This window comes from Homo sapiens, chromosome 5 (genome assembly GCF_000001405.40).
Source record: "Homo sapiens chromosome 5, GRCh38.p14 Primary Assembly".
Classification (NCBI taxonomy): domain Eukaryota; kingdom Metazoa; phylum Chordata; class Mammalia; order Primates; family Hominidae; genus Homo; species Homo sapiens.
The window spans coordinates 71,243,187-71,259,308 of record NC_000005.10 but is presented as its reverse complement, the minus strand read 5'-3'; the positions used below and the strand labels follow the sequence as shown (position 1 = coordinate 71,259,308).

The 16,122-nt window shown below is 34.8% G+C and overlaps 1 pseudogene across 1 annotated transcript in view; it reads left to right on the top strand.

Moving 5' to 3' along the window:
• Window positions 1–13: 13 nt before the first annotated feature.
• The window catches only part of GUSBP17 (GUSB pseudogene 17), a 39,070-nt pseudogene continuing 22,961 nt past the window's right edge, over window positions 14–16,122 (top strand). The window contains exon 1 of the transcript NR_033968.1: window positions 14–119. The product of NR_033968.1 is annotated as a GUSB pseudogene 17 (transcript). The remainder of the gene's footprint in view (window positions 120–16,122) is intronic.

Below are 16,122 nucleotides of genomic sequence, written 5' to 3'. Positions count from 1 at the left end.
CAGAGTGAAAGAGCAGGTTCTGCTTCTTTGGTGTAGTCCTGAAGCTTCCTAAGAAACTTCACATCAGGTGATGGATAGGAGCAACCCTGTAAAACCAGCCTTAGACTATTTTTCAAACAGTAAGTAATAAAGGTGACGTTTTGATCTTTATCTGCTTAATTACTTCTGCTATGATTCTATTGATTCTAACATTGAAGGAGCAGTAAATTTATATGTATTATCCAACTATAAAACAATAAATAAACGATATGTCAAATACATTATCACATCCTTATGTTCTTATGATAATATTGTCCTTTTTTTAACAGTTTTTATTCTTATTTGTTGATTGGTTTGTCTTTATGTTGTCCTTTCTACTATCAAACTGAACATGTTGAGGTCATAGGCTATCAAAACTGTACATTTCTGATGCTAACCATAGAGACTTAACAACAGTAAATAGGCCAAAATGGAATGTTGTTAGCCATAGTGTGTATTATTATTTCTTTTATACATGTGGTCACTGTTAGAGGAGTTTATGACTTTTTGCCTAGATTAATGACACACAAACCATCTACAAACGAATCATACCTTATTCCCTCACTGTAATTTTTAATGTTGCTATTTTTGCCTGTTAACATTCCATAGGTTTATCACATTGCTTAAAGATTTAATTTAATTTCTGTAATTGTATATGTCATGAGAGATTGCTTTTAACCTTCCAATGTTCGTGGTCTCATTTTCACTAACATAATCCCAACTTTAGCTGCGCACAATACCACATTTCCCAGCATTCCTTGCATCTGGATATAGCTGTATTCAAATAAGCCGTGTGAAACTTCTGGGATGGCTCCTTAAGTGCAGTTGACTCATTAGGGAGGTATGTCTTTTTTATTTTTCTACACTTTGTGCTGCTGTCCTGGAGTACAGACATGGTGGCTAGAAGCATGAAATCACCTTGAAGGTAGAAGTCATGCATTGAAGTTAGTAAAAGTGAAATGTAAGTGTATAGTTTCCTGATGAAAATGGGAAGCTTATGTACTAGCAACAGAATGCTTATTATGCAGGCTTCCTATATGTAAAAGAGGACAAATTCTCATTTTATTAAGTTTCTGAAAGTAGATTTCTAAATGCTGGTTCTATTTTTTATTGAAAGTAATGGCAAAAAACGCAATGCCTTTTGTACCAACCTAATAGTTAATAAACATATCCTCAAATGAAATGTCTTAGAATTGTGTTCATCAAGTTAATATTAATAATTTATTAGAATAGCACTCTAAAGGGTTGCAGCCTATGCATGAAAATACTTACAAACTACTACATGATAATCAATTCTTTTTGGCAAGACTGCTATTTACATGGACACAAGAGTTATTATAAGAATGTTGTATGTATACATGAATAGTGTCTGTTAAACACTGGATATAATAAAAACAATAGTTTTTCTGTTAATTATAACAATCTGAACATTTTTGTGATTATATTTCACAAATGACACACCATTTTATTTGCAGATTTTTCTTATCCCCAAAGTTTTTGTTAATTTATTACCAACACAGCACACAAGTCTAGTGGCAATGCATTACCTCTGCAGTTGATTTTGAAGTAAGAAGGCCTATTTATTGCATTCATTCCTGCTTAGATGACATCTTAAATTTGTTAATTGGATTATTATGCTCTATTCTATACATTTATTGATTTATAGATTTTGTGGACACAAATTTCAAAACATATTCGAAAATTTGGTGATAGCTTTTTAGAATCTATTCTTCAACATAGTTATTGAAAGTGAACAAGAAGGACCTCCTCTAGAGATTAGGTTGAGAACCACTTCTTTGATTTGTTAAATATGTGTACATGGATACCATGTGGCTTTATTATGAGGAGCCACTTAAGTGGCTGAGTTACAATTCACAAAACATTGTCACAGGGAAAATATCAGGACAAATTTTCAAGTCGCATGCCAAGAAAAGAAACTTTCTGAATGCTTATAAGAAATACCTTAATTAATGGGAGCCCTTCAAAGTACACAAAACATCATAACTAGGAGTTGCAACACAACCAGCAATTTGCTGATTGAAATGCATTCATTCATACTGACTTCACCTGCTGAATGGAATATTGTGCTGTACTGTCCTTAGCTATGGAGAGAGAATTAAGGAATATCCCCTTCTGGTGTTCAACAACAACGAAAGAGCAAGAAAGATATATTCCTAATTTTTAAAGAAGAATGTAGAGATACTTAAACAAGACAATGAAGGTGGTAGAAAGATTATTACCATCCCCAAAGTGTTTGCTCATTAAAACATTTTGTGATTTTCTCTGCCAATATCATACCTGTATGGATAATTGTTTTCCTATCCACACAGTTATGAGAGTGAGAAGATGGAATATAAAAGATGGAACAAGAGGGAATCTGTGTGGTGACCACAGTAATCACAGGCTGGTTGGGATCCTAAACTCGGCCACAGCACAAAAGCATGTTCAAGTTTAAAGTCATGAGAGAGGCCTGGCATAGTGGCTCACACCTATAATCCCTGCACTTTGGGAGGCCAAGGTGGGAGGATTGCTTGGGGCAAAGAGCTCAAGATCAGCCTGGGCAACATAGTGAGATCCCATCTAAAAAAATGTTCTTTAAGTTAGCCTTATGTGGTGGCATGTTCCTGTGGTATCAGCTACTCAGGTGGCTGAAGTGGGAGGGTCACTTGAGCCTGGAGGTTGAGCCATAATCATGCCACTGCACTCCAGCCTTGGTGACAGATTAAGACTCTGTCTCCAAAAGTAAAACACCAAACAACACAAAAAGTAAAGTCACAATAAAATGAGATGCTATTAAGGTTGTTTTAGGTTGATTTTCAACTAGACCAGCATTTAGCCTGTACAAAGGCATATACAAAATAAACCCTAAACCTAAATGGGATTCAGCAGCAGCAGTGTGGGTTAAAGAAGCCACCAGTTCCCTGGAGGCCAGAACCACAGGCCTGTGGCCTTTTTTATTGTTTTGACAGGGAGGTGGAAAGCAGGAGTATAACTACATTCAAGTGTCTGCTCTGTTGCTGTAGGAGAAAATCCGTGCTGTAGCACATCAAAGTTTTTCCAAATTTTATTTCTTAGGACATCTTTGGGGTTTATGTAAGTATTAAATAGAGCTCCCCTAGCCCAGGCTTACACAGGACATATGTCTAGTGTCATAGGTCTGTATGCTTAAATTATAGCAGAAAGTTTGCTAAAATTTAAGTGAAGTAATGTTGAAGGTTGAATCATTTGAAACAAACTACCTGCACCAAAATATTCTTTAGTGTACTGATTTCTATCCCACCCCTAATGAGGCTGAATTTTAATCTTAACTCTGCTTGTAATTAGGTATTTATATGTGTCTGTTATTCATTTTTTAACAAGATGTCTCTTCAGAGATAAAATGAGGGTAGCAAAAAATAATTTTAATAGCCATTTATATGGCTTTGATAACAATTGTCTGTTCTACTTATCTGACTGATTCTAAACTCTAAAGGTTATTTTACAGTTAGTAAATTACATAATTTTTATGCAACAATTTGCCTGCCAGGATTCCTATAATACTTGTCAGCTATCAGTAGGTATAAGCCTGTTAGCCTCTAATGTGAAGATAATATCTCTTTAAGTTATAACGCATTTACAATTGTTACAGTTTCTAAGGTCTTTTTGAAGTTAGAGATGCATCTGAGGATGATGGTTTTCAAGGAGATAGCTCTTTGACAAAAAATGACAATATGGGACTTAGTGTTATATTAATTTACACATTATGTTTTTGCTATAAAGAGATAAAAGGTGTGCTATACTACCTATCAATTACTGTATGCCACATTTTGTAGAATTGTTTTCCATATTATTGTAGAATGTGGCACTTAAATAGTATCATGAAAAAAGTTTATTCAAGAAATAAGACATTAATGAAATATAATTAATATATAAAGACTATATTTAAAAATAATTATGTATTTCTAATCCTAAACTTTTTAAGGTGACATTATTTTTTTCTGTGATATAATTTCAGTTGAGAAGAACTTTAAATTTTAATAAGATTTTAAGATGATTCAGTAATGTTAACATACTTTTCTTCTGTAAATTTTGTTAACAATTTAGCTGCATTAATTAAATATTTATGTAGCTAATTTTAATAGTGATATTTTAATACAATTCTTAATTTTACTCCTGGCTTTCAATCATTCATATATGTTTTTAAAAATTGCTTTTTCCATTGCTTTACTTCTTAATTACTTTTATCAAAGTCTTAATTGTGTGTGGTTGATTTTAAAAGTTAAATATTTCTATAAGATTTATAAAGACAAACTGGGTACAGTGACTCACACCTGTAATCCCAGCACTTTGGGAGGCCGAGGGGGTAGATCACTTGAGGTCAGGAGTTCGAGACCAGCCTGGCCAACATGGTGAAAGCAGTTTCTACTAAAAATACAAAGATATGCCTGGTGTGGTGGTTGGCCCCTGTAATTCCAGCCACTTGGGAGGCTGAGGCAGGAGAATTGCTTGAACCTTGGAAGCGGAGGTTGCAGTGAGCTGAAACCATGCCATTGCACTCCAGCCTGGGCAGCAAGAGCGAAACTCCATCACACACACACACACACACACACAAAATATATATATATATATATATATATATATAAAATATATATATGTATGTATGTATATATACATGTATATGTGTGTGTGTATATATATATATACACACACTATATATATATATATATATATATATACACACACACACAATAGAAATGTCCTGGCTATATCTATATTAATAGGTTTTGCACATTTAAACCAAAGTCACACATATGGTTTGATTCTAATTAATTCTAATGCATCTTGCAGGTTTCAAACTGTATTCTATTATGTAATTATCTGCTGATCCACTCTGTATCCTGTTGTGTAAGTTGCGATGATTAACCTCTGCCTTTACGATGTAATCCAAATGTAGCATATAGACCTCAATGATAAGATTGATCATGGTGCATTTAATCATTAATTTATTATTAATCTCTTTTATCCTGGTACTTAGAGTGCAGATTTTTCTCAACAACTATTTACGCAATCATTAAATGAAATACAGCCTTGTGTCACTTAGCAATGAGGATATGTTCTGAGAAGTGTGTGGCTAGGTGATTATCTTACTGTGCAAACTTCATAGAGTGATCAATCTATAATGGTGATAGCAATTTTTCAACCCTATTATAATCTTAATGAGCCATTGTTTTACATGCTGTCTCTTATTGATGTAAACGTTGTTATGTGGCACATGATTATATAAAAGATATTAATCCATTCATTATTTATGCATTCATCCATTTGACCTATGGTAGTGTTCTATTGAAAATGAGTCATCGTGATACAGAAATCCACTGTTAGTTGTTTTTACTTTCTCTTGTTCGTGGGGAAGAGTGGGTATTGATTTTAAAAGTCTAAAGAATGGGGTATTGTGAATAGTGCCGCAATAAACATACGTGTGCATGTGTCTTTATAGCAGCATGATTTATAATCCTTTGGGTATATACCCAGTAATGGGATGGCTGGGTCAAATGGTATTTCTAGTTCTAGATCCCTGAGGAATCGCCACACTGACTTCGACAATGGTTGAACTAGTTTACCGTCCCACCAACAGTATAAAAGTGTTCCTATTTCTCCACATCCTCTCCAGCACCTGTTGTTTCCTGGCTTTTTAATGATTGCCATTCTAACTGGTGTGAGATGGTATCTCATCGTGGTTTTGATTTGCATTTCTCTGATGGCCAGTGATGGTGAGCATTTTTTCATGTGTTTTTTGGCTGCATAAATGTCTTCTTTTGCGAAGTGTCTGTTCATGTCCTTCGCCCACTTTTTGATGGGGTTGTTTGTTTTTTTCTTGTAAATTTGTTTGAGTTCATTGTAGATTCTGGATATTAGCCCTTTGTCAGATGAGTAGGTTGCGAAAATTTTCTCCCATTCTGTAGGTTGCCTGTTCACTGTGATGGTAGTTTCTTTTGCTGTGCAGAAGCTCTTTAGTTTAATTAGATCCCATTTGTCAATTTTGGCTTTTGTTGCCATTGCTTTTGGTGTTTTAGACATGAAGTCCTTGCCCACGCCTGTGTCCTGAATGGTAATGCGTAGGTTTTCTTCTAGGGTTTTTATGGTTTTAGGTCTAACGTTTAAGTCTTTAATCCATCTTGAATTAATTTTTGTATAAGGTGTAAGGAAGGGATCCAGTTTCAGCTTTCTCCATATGGCTAGCCAGTTTTCCCAGCACCATTTATTAAATAGGGAATCCTTTCCCCATTGCTTATTTTTCTCAGGTTTGTCAAAGATGAGATAGTTGTAGATATGCGGCGTTATTTCTGAGGGCTCTGTTCTGTTCCATTGATCTATATCTCTGTTTTGGTACCAGTACCGTGCTGTTTTGGTTACTGTAGCCTTGTAGTATAGTTTGAAGTCAGGTAGCGTGATGCCTCCAGCTTTGTTCTTTTGGCTTAGGATTGACTTGGCAATGCGGGCTCTTTTTTGGTTCCATACGAACTTTAAAGTAGTTATTTCCAATTCTGTGAAGAAAGTCATTGGTAGCTTGATGGGGATGGCATTGGATCTATAAATTACCTTGGGCAGCAAAGACTTGGAACCAATCCAAATGTCCAACAGTGATAGACTGGATTAAGAAAATGTGGCACATATACACCATGCAATACTATGCAGCCATAAAAAATGATGAGTTCATGTCCTTTATAGGGACATGGATGAAATTGGAAATCATCATTCTCAGTAAACTATCGCAAGGACAAAAAACCAAACACCGGATGTTCTCACTCATAGGTGGGAATTGAACAATGAGAACACATGGACACAGGAAGGGGAACATCACACTCTGGGGACTGTTATGGGGTGGGGGGAGGGGGGAGGGATAGCACTCGGAGATATACCTAATGCTAGATGACGAGTTAGTGGGTGCAGCACACCAGCATGGCACATGTATACATATGTAACTAACCTGCACATTGTGCACATGTACCCTAAAACTTAAAAGTATATAAAAAAAAAAGGGGGGGGTATACACACAATCAGGTGTCAAGCAGTGGCACCTCGTGCAAAATAATAAACTCATCTAAGATCCTAGCAGTTCATTCTGAAAATAAAGCTGGAAATATATCTTGGATATGTAAAATGTGAGTGTAAAAATTAATGAAACTAAGCAATGGGAATATGAGTAGTAAATTATTTGAGAAAATATTATAACATTTACTTTTTTAAATTTCAAAACTATATTTCCTTATTTAAAACTGAAAATTTTTGTGTACATATAGGAAACTAATTGTGTCATTTTTCTTTTTGTTACAATATAGAGTGATGTTTCAAAACACAAACATAATAGGTAGAGTCAATTACTTAGGGGAGTCTAAACCTGGAGGTAACATTAGAAATAGAAATAATAAAATGCAGTGTTTTTGGATTTGTCTGTTAAGATTATTTTAATCCAGATCATATTTAATGGTTTACATAGTTGTATATCAAATTTGGTTTCAGAAATAAATTATACAGTAAATTTAAAAATGCAAAAAATGTATATTGTTATACATTCTGTAACCTATGAATCCATATAACTTGGGCAAGAAAATTATATAATTAAAAATAAAACCTTTCTGTTCTCAATTATGTTTTAGGGACAGCTATATAGTTCACACTCACAAAGGAATCATAAAAACTCTATGTATAATCTTGGAAGTAAAAATATCTGTTGTATCATATTTATGAAGTATACAATTGATTAAAAATGATAATGTCTGTCTTCTATCCAACGGCAATAACAGAAGATAATGGCATATAAGTAGGCCTGTCTCCTTTTTTTTGGCATTGATTTATATATCTTTACTAGCTTTGTTGTTTTAACTCCAATAAAAGATTATTTAGTAAGCCAAAGCAAAAAAAAAAAAAAAATCCTGTGAGCAGCCACAAACTGAAAGACTACGATTTTTAGTCAATGTCCTAAGCGACACAGTAATTTTAGGTTAACCAATGTGTCAAAGAGAATGAGGAAAAATTATTACAAAAATGAATAAATAAACTGGTCTAGGTCAAACCGTACTCCTTCTAAAGAGAGTAGTCAACTGATATTAAAGCCTGTGACGTAGTATGTGCCATATTGAGTATGCAATATCTAAATATTTCTTTTTTTTCTTTCTCCAGCTACTGCAAACCCTAATTGTTTCCTTATCCGATCACTTTAAAGTCATTCAGCAAATCATAATTATGCCATTGTTAACATCAGAAACTGAAAACCTACTGTCAAAAGTGAGCTAAAATATCATATTTGGATTTATTTATAAATTTATTTTATAAAAAGATTGACTTTCAATTTGAGAATAACATAAAAAATCAATTCATTCCTCTGTGCATCAATATTGTATCATTGGTAGTTTAAACTTTTCATCTAATATTAGATTGCATGCAGGATTTTATATCTAATTACTCTGGCAGATGGCCTTTAGAAAGTTCAAAAATAAAATGCAGCAATTCATATTGGCAGATTTACTATTGAGACCAATGCTTTCTTAACTAAAAGGTTTTGTTTAAAATCGTTAGTTTAGGAAATCTGATAAAGATTTTTGAATATCAGAGCGTTTAAAAGAGATTCTTACTTTACATCTGGCATATTTCTTGTGTTACATATTATAATTTCATTGAACATGGCTGTCTGTAAAACTATGTATATGATCCGGAAGAGACTCAAATTAAATTAAGTTTTAACAGCCATCAATTCATTTTAAAATGACACAGGCATGAAAAATGATCTATCAAGATTTGTAAATCTTATTCTGTTAGCTATTGCTAGAGATAGTCTAAAGGTATTCTACTTGGAATTTGAGATCAAGACAAAGATTTTCTGTTGGTAATAATATTCAGATTATTTTTATTTTAATGTATAAATTTAAAATTCTTAGAATATTTTCAACAATATTTTCCATTTCTAAATTTATTTTATTTCTAAACAAATGTAATTACTTTATTTATTAACTTTTATTTTCAGTTCAGGGGTATATGTGCAGGTTTGTTATATAGGTAAACCTATAGGTAAATAGGTATACAGATTATTTTGTCACCCAGGCATTAAGCCTATGCGCGTTAGTGAAAAATGTTATTGCTTTAAATATCCAAATTATTCAGCTGCATTTGATCTCATTCTTTAGTCCAATGTAAGTAAGAGTAAAACAATGACATTTAAGGCCACCAGGCTATTCTCATTTTTGGAAAAATGCTGGATTACATTACCAGCATATTAAATGAGAATATCAAGGTGTAATATCTCCCTAGAAATTGTCTCACCTTCAATACTATTGACATTTTTGGACCTGATAATTTTGTTGTGGGCTCTAGCCTCATGTTATAGGAGGTTTACCAGTTTTCCTGCCCTAAACTTACCGGATGTGAATAGCACACTCCACTACCTACAGCAGTAAAAACTAAAATTGTCTCTAAACATTGACAAATTGTCCCTGGTAGTGAAAATCACCCCTGGTTGAGACCGTGTTGTTGAAAATAAAACAAAAACTTTCACATCAATAAATATGTTAGGCTGTGTATGTTAAGGATTAACATTAAGACAATATGGAGCAAGCACTACATGAAAGCAGTGACGATTGGGAATTAGTGGCACATTATCCTAATAGTTAATATAGTGACTGTAATATCTAAATATCATCCTATAGAGTTTTTCTTAGATTTTTTCATTAGTATAACAGGATGTTGTGTATGTTACACTGTATATACTGTTATTTTGAGAGACAATTTTGGGAGATTTTGCCAAGGTATTTTCAATTATAGGTCTTTAATACATTCTAAGCAAGTGGGTCTCAAAAATGGGAATTTTACACCCCACATTCTTCTTCCCATCCGGTGGACATTTGTCAATGTGCGCAGATATTTCTGATTAAAAAAAAAAAAAAAACTGTGAAAGAGAGGGTGTGCTACTGGCATCTGGTGGTCGAGGCTAGGGATGTTGCTAATCATCTTACAATGTACACGATAGTTCCCCACAATGACTTTGAGAAACCCTGCTCTGACACTACTGCAGGATGAATTTTAAGCACAATTATGAGAGGACCTAGATATTGAGTTTTAAAAGGAGAAAATATAAGTACAAAAGAAGAATGAAGATTGTTACAACAGGGGCAAGTAGAAGTTAGAAGAAAATGTGATAAAGTAAATCTACATTTTAGAATAGTACTGGAAGTTATTATCAGGTGTTACAGACAAGTTTGAGACTTCCGTAAGTGACCTAAAGAAATTATGGACACTGCAAGACTAAATAATCATTCATTTAGGAAGGAGCTTAAATGCACTTTCTCAAGGCCGGGCGAGGTGGCTCACGCCTGTAATCCCAGCACTTTGGGAGGCCAAGGTGGGCAGATCACGAGGTCAGGTGATCGAGACCATCGTGGGTAACACGGTGAAACCCCGTCTCTACTAAAAAATACAAAAAAAAATTAGCCGGGCACGGTGGCGGGCGCCTTAGTCCCATCTACTCGGGAGGCTGAGGCAGGAGAATGGCGTGAACCCGGGAGGCGGAGTTTGCAGTAAGCCGAGATCCCGCCACTGCACTCCAGCCAGGGTGACTGAGTGAGACTCTGTCTCAAAAAAAAAAAAAACTTTCTCAAGCATGCTAAGTCACAAAATTTGAGTTATCCTGAGCTTTTTTTACTTTAAGCTATCAAGCCATTGTTTGGAATCTTCAGAACCTCTTTAGAGTTTGGGATTTAAGAGTCAGTAGGTAGATAGTGAGCTTAAGATGCCAAACACAACATATAAAGCTATAAAAATCCATATGATCTTGAAAGATTAAATGGAAGCCCAGCACAAAACAATTGCTGAGTATATTATTTACATTATCTGAAAGTATGCCAAACAGACACTTTATATGTTAATAAAGATATGAGAAAGAAAATTCCAAAGAGTTTCTAAAAAGTGAACAACCACAAAATTTCAATAGCTTGCAACAAACATTTTCTTCTCACTCATGTTACCTGATGGAAAATCAAATGGCTGCCTGGAGACAGCATGGAGGGAGAGACTGATTACTGAGGTGCACAAGAAAACTTTTCATAATGATGGTTGTGAATGTAGTGATATTTCCAAAAGTATATACATATATATATATATCTATCTCAAATTTGACCACATCACACATTTCAAGTATACTGAATTGACTGTGCATCTCTTATTATACCCCAGGAAAGTTGAAGATATGACAATGAAAAAAAAATTCTTCCACCGACTACCCATCAATTTTCTTCTCATTAGCCTCACAGATTTCACAGTTAATTAAAGGGAAGATGCAAATATGTTCAAACTGTACATATTCTGAGGCCCATACCTTGCCATTAGCTCAATAAAGAGAGACATTGTCCCTGGCATGAAAATGAAAAACTTGCACACTCCCTAGGTGGCTTCTGGACACTCTTAAGACATGAACACACTTTGGGGGCTCACCCTGTCAGGCTTTGCTCTCCGAGCTTAGATGAGAAAAACACAAAAATAAAACCAAAAGGTGACATTTAGGTGCCCATCAAGAAAGATGTGTTGGGAACTGGACAGGTCAGGGCTTTAAGTACTGTATCTTACTGTATGTTTAAGTACTGTATGTTACTGTAGAAACTTACCCATTTTCCCCTCAGAACAACTCTGTCTCAGGAGGTGAGTCTGAGAGCTACTGTTTCTTTGTAAAGGTTTTATCTGATCAGGCCCACGGTCACCACGTCAGCCCCACTGCCCCTAAATAGTTTGAATCTTGATGTTTTGATTTCAAAGACTTCTGATTCTAGCTACATAGCTTTGTCCATTTCCCACCTTACCACTATTTACTTTGAATTTTGTTGCATGCCGAGACCAGTGACTGCCACAAATGTGACTGTTCCTAGAATCTGCTTTCTGCTCTGATCTTTAGTCAGTGTGCAGACTCTAACATAAACTCCTTTCTATCGTATTTTCTTGAGTCCAAGAGCCCATAGATTGTATAATGCACTATTTTATGTCCCGTTAAGCAAGTAATTCGCATTGTGGCTAATTAAACTAAGACATACCACTGAATTGTAAAATGCATTATATTTTCAGGAGATATTAAAATATGAAATGTATAGGTCTTGGAATAGATGAATTGTGACAGTATCTTTGGAAAGCTAATTCAGTTGCAGTATTGCTTAAGATGTCTTTAAGAGCTGACTTCCTTTAGTTGGAATACATATGTAAATTATTTGCAGAGGAGATTTACCTCTTTTATCTCATTCATTTGTTTATTCAGTCATTTATTGATATCAATATGGACTAAGGAAAATTACATTTTTGGGTATAATCCAAATATACTACCAATTAATGTATTGTGTTGCTAAAATTATTCTAGAAATTGAAAGACCTTTCACTTGGCCCCTGTGCTTGTTTGACATATCTCACGAATAGATTTTTGTTAGTATTTTCATAATTTCTGGCACTAGAGGATGTCCCAGGCTCATCTTGTGTATTTTCTTCCCCATTCTTAGAATCAGCCACTTTCAAAGACGCCCTGCTTTCTATATATGAAATCAATATTTAAGTGCTAGCTGTGCCTGTAGCTAAGGGAGTATCAATTTTTTCATAGCTCTCTAAGATGAGAGAGCAAAGAAACAATGTGTATATTCTTACACATATCTTTAAATATTTCTATATGTAAACATCTATATTAGTCCATTATCCCATTGTTATAAAGAACTACCTGATCCTAGGTAATTTATAAAGAAAAGAGCTTTAATTGCCTCACAGTTGCACAGGCTGTACAGGAAGCAAGGATGGGGAAGCCTCAGAAAACGTACAGTCATAGCAGAAGGCAAAGAGGAAGCAGGCACATCTTACATGGCTGGAGAAGGAGGAAGAGAACTAAGGGGGAGATGCTACACACTTTTAAACAACCAGATTGTGTGAGAACTAAGTCATTATCACAAGAACAGCAAGGAGGAAATCTGCCCCCATAATCCAATCCCCTCCCACTAGACCCCTCCTTCAACACTGGCGATTACAATTGGACGAGAGGTTTGAGAGGGGACAAAATGTAAACCATATCACCATCTATGTCTGTATTAAGCTAAACATGGGTTCTTACTGATGTCACTACCTCTAACCTAGTCCCGCAAGCATCAATGCCTTCCTGTATCTCTAAACCCCCACTCCAACAATAAAAATCCTGACTCTTATTTTGTGACATCTATTTAGTTAATTGTTCACTTCCAGTATATGTATATAGCTGTACCAGAATTGATAACCTGCCCTTAGTAGAAGAACATCTTTATCAACTAAATTAAATGCCTTCGTACAAGTTTCTTTTGCCTTTCATCTTAAGAGACTGCACTCATTTTCAATATCACTTTGACTAGCACCCTTTCCCTTAAGTCCCTCACTGAAGTTATTTTGTATGGTTCATAATAGAGCTAGATAAATTTGTAACAGTCTGCATTCCATCCTGAGATTCTACAACCTTTTAATTAATTTTTAATTAAAAATATAACTTTTATTTTGGTAAATATTAGCACTTCTGTGCCACACTACTATATATAAATATCAAAAAAAGGTCCAGAAAGCTATAGAAAATTTGAGTAAAGTGCTGAATGTTGAACCTAACAATAACTGGGCTAAAGTAAGTACAGAAGGCAATTTTTTATTTATGTAAATTTATGGGATACAAATATAATCTTATTACCTCCATAAAGTACATAGTGTTGAAGTAAGGGTTTTAGAATATACATCACCTGAAAAATGTACATTGTACTCATTACATAATTTCTCATCATCCCCTCCTCCCACCCTCCTGAAATTTCCAAGTCTCTGTTGTCTATCATTCCACATTCTATGTCCATGTGTATACATTATTTAGCTTCCAGTTATAAGTGAGAACATGCAGTATTTGTCTTTCTGTGTCTGATTTGTTTCACTTAAAATAATGACCAGTTACATCCATGTTGTTACAAAAGACATGATTTTATTCTTTTGTATAGCTGAATAGTATTCTATAGCGCATATGTGCCAGATTTATTAATGTAATCATCCACTGAGGGACACATTGCTATTGTGAATAGTGCTGTGATAAACATATGGGTGCAGATACCTTTTTCATACAATTATCTGTTCTCCTTTGGGTAGATCTCCAGTAGTGGGATTGTTGGGTGAAATTGCGGTTTTATTAAGAATGTATATTCTGTAGTTGCTGGGTAGTATTTTCTGTAAATGTCAGTTAGGTCTATTTCATCTAAGGTTGAATTTAAGTCTTAGGTTTATTTGTTTTCTGTCTTGATGATAACATTTAATGCTGTGAGTGAGATGGTAAAGTCCCCCAGTATTATCGTATTGCTGTCTATTCCTTTTTTATGTCTAGTAATATTTATTTGATGAATCTTGGTGGTCTAGTGTTGGATGCATATGTGTTTAGAATTGTTATATCCTCTTGCTGAATTGATCCCTTTATCATTATGTAATGACTTCCTTTGTCATTGTTATACTGTTTTAGATTTAAGTTCTGTTTTACTTGATATAAGTATAGCTATTCCTGCTTGCTTTTAGTCTCCGTTACATGGAGTATCTTTTTTCACCCATTTACTTTAAATCTGTATGTGTCTTTACTTTTCAGTCTGTATGTGTCTATATGTTTCTTGTAAGCATAATATTTTTGGATCATTTTTTAGTTCGTTCCATCAATCTACCTTTCTTTTTTTTTTTTTTACTTTTAGATGGAGTTTCACTCTGTCATCCAGAGTGGAGTGCAGTGGCGCAATCTTGGCTCACTGCAAACTCCGTCTTGCAGGTTCAAGCGATTCTCCTGCTTCAGCCTCCCAAGTAGATGGGATTACAGGTGCCGGCCACCACGCCTGGCTAATTTTTGTATTTTTAATGGAGATAGGGTTTCACTATGTTGGCCAGCCTGGCCTCGAACTCCTGACCTCGTGATCCACCCACCTCGGCCTCCCAAAGTGCTGGGATTACAGGTGTGAGCAACTGCACCTGGCCCAATATCTATCAATCTATATATTTTAAGTGGAACGTTTAATTCATTTACATTCAAGGTTAATGTTAATACATGAGGTTTTCTTTCTGCCATATTGCTGTTTGTTTTCTACTTGTTTTATAAGTTCTTTGGGGTTATTTTGTTGTTGTTTTTTGTTTTTCTTTCTGTGTGTCTCTTTGTCTTTGTGGTTTGGTGGAAATCTGTTGTGTTGCTATTTGATTGCTCGTCCTACTTTGTGTGACTGTTTTACAAGACCTATGAGTTTGCTACTTTCATGTGTTTTGATGATGATGATGAATGTTGACCTTTCATTTTTGTGTTTGGGACACCTTTGAGTATTTCTCATAGGACTCGTTTGGTGGTGACGAATTCCCTCAGTGTGTGCTTGTCTGGAAAATACTTTGAATCATTTCAAGAAAATTAGCAGTGAGTTATGTCAATCAAGCCATTGGTTTGTATTTGGTGGCACATTTACTCTGTATTATTTCACACTAGAACCATCTGAGTTAAGTTTTATTATTTGCTATATGTTGCAGATGAAGAAACTGAAGCTGAGAGAGGTTTAGTGAATGACTAAAAAGGTTGTCAGGCTGCAGGGAAAAAAACAAAACAAAACTGTACGACTAGCCTGCAATGCTTCCCAAAGTATGTAGCTTATTATTATTGGTCACTTTTTGAGTACAAAATGCTGTGCTATGTAACAGAATAATACAATGTACATATACATATCAATTAACATAAGCATAACTGTAATCACATATACTGATAAATAAAAATATAAAGTAATATATGGTAATGACCCAACCATTTGCCTAAGTTTCATGTATTACAGAAGTTTTGAGGAGGGACTTCAGCTGTATGCAAATGAGCAATTCGGGTCGTACAGTTGATTACCCATTAGTTCAGAATTTTAATAATTTAAAATATATTTATTAAGAACCTAACAATTGGAAGACCTTACAATAGGTGGGAAAATTCGACAGATGAATAATGCTTAGGAGATATCAGCATGTTTTGGAAGGATATTCCCATGAAGAGAAAAAGTATCGTGGGAAGTGTGGGAAGTGTTATGGTGCGAGAGTAATACAGGTTCCAGCATGTGTTTACATTAT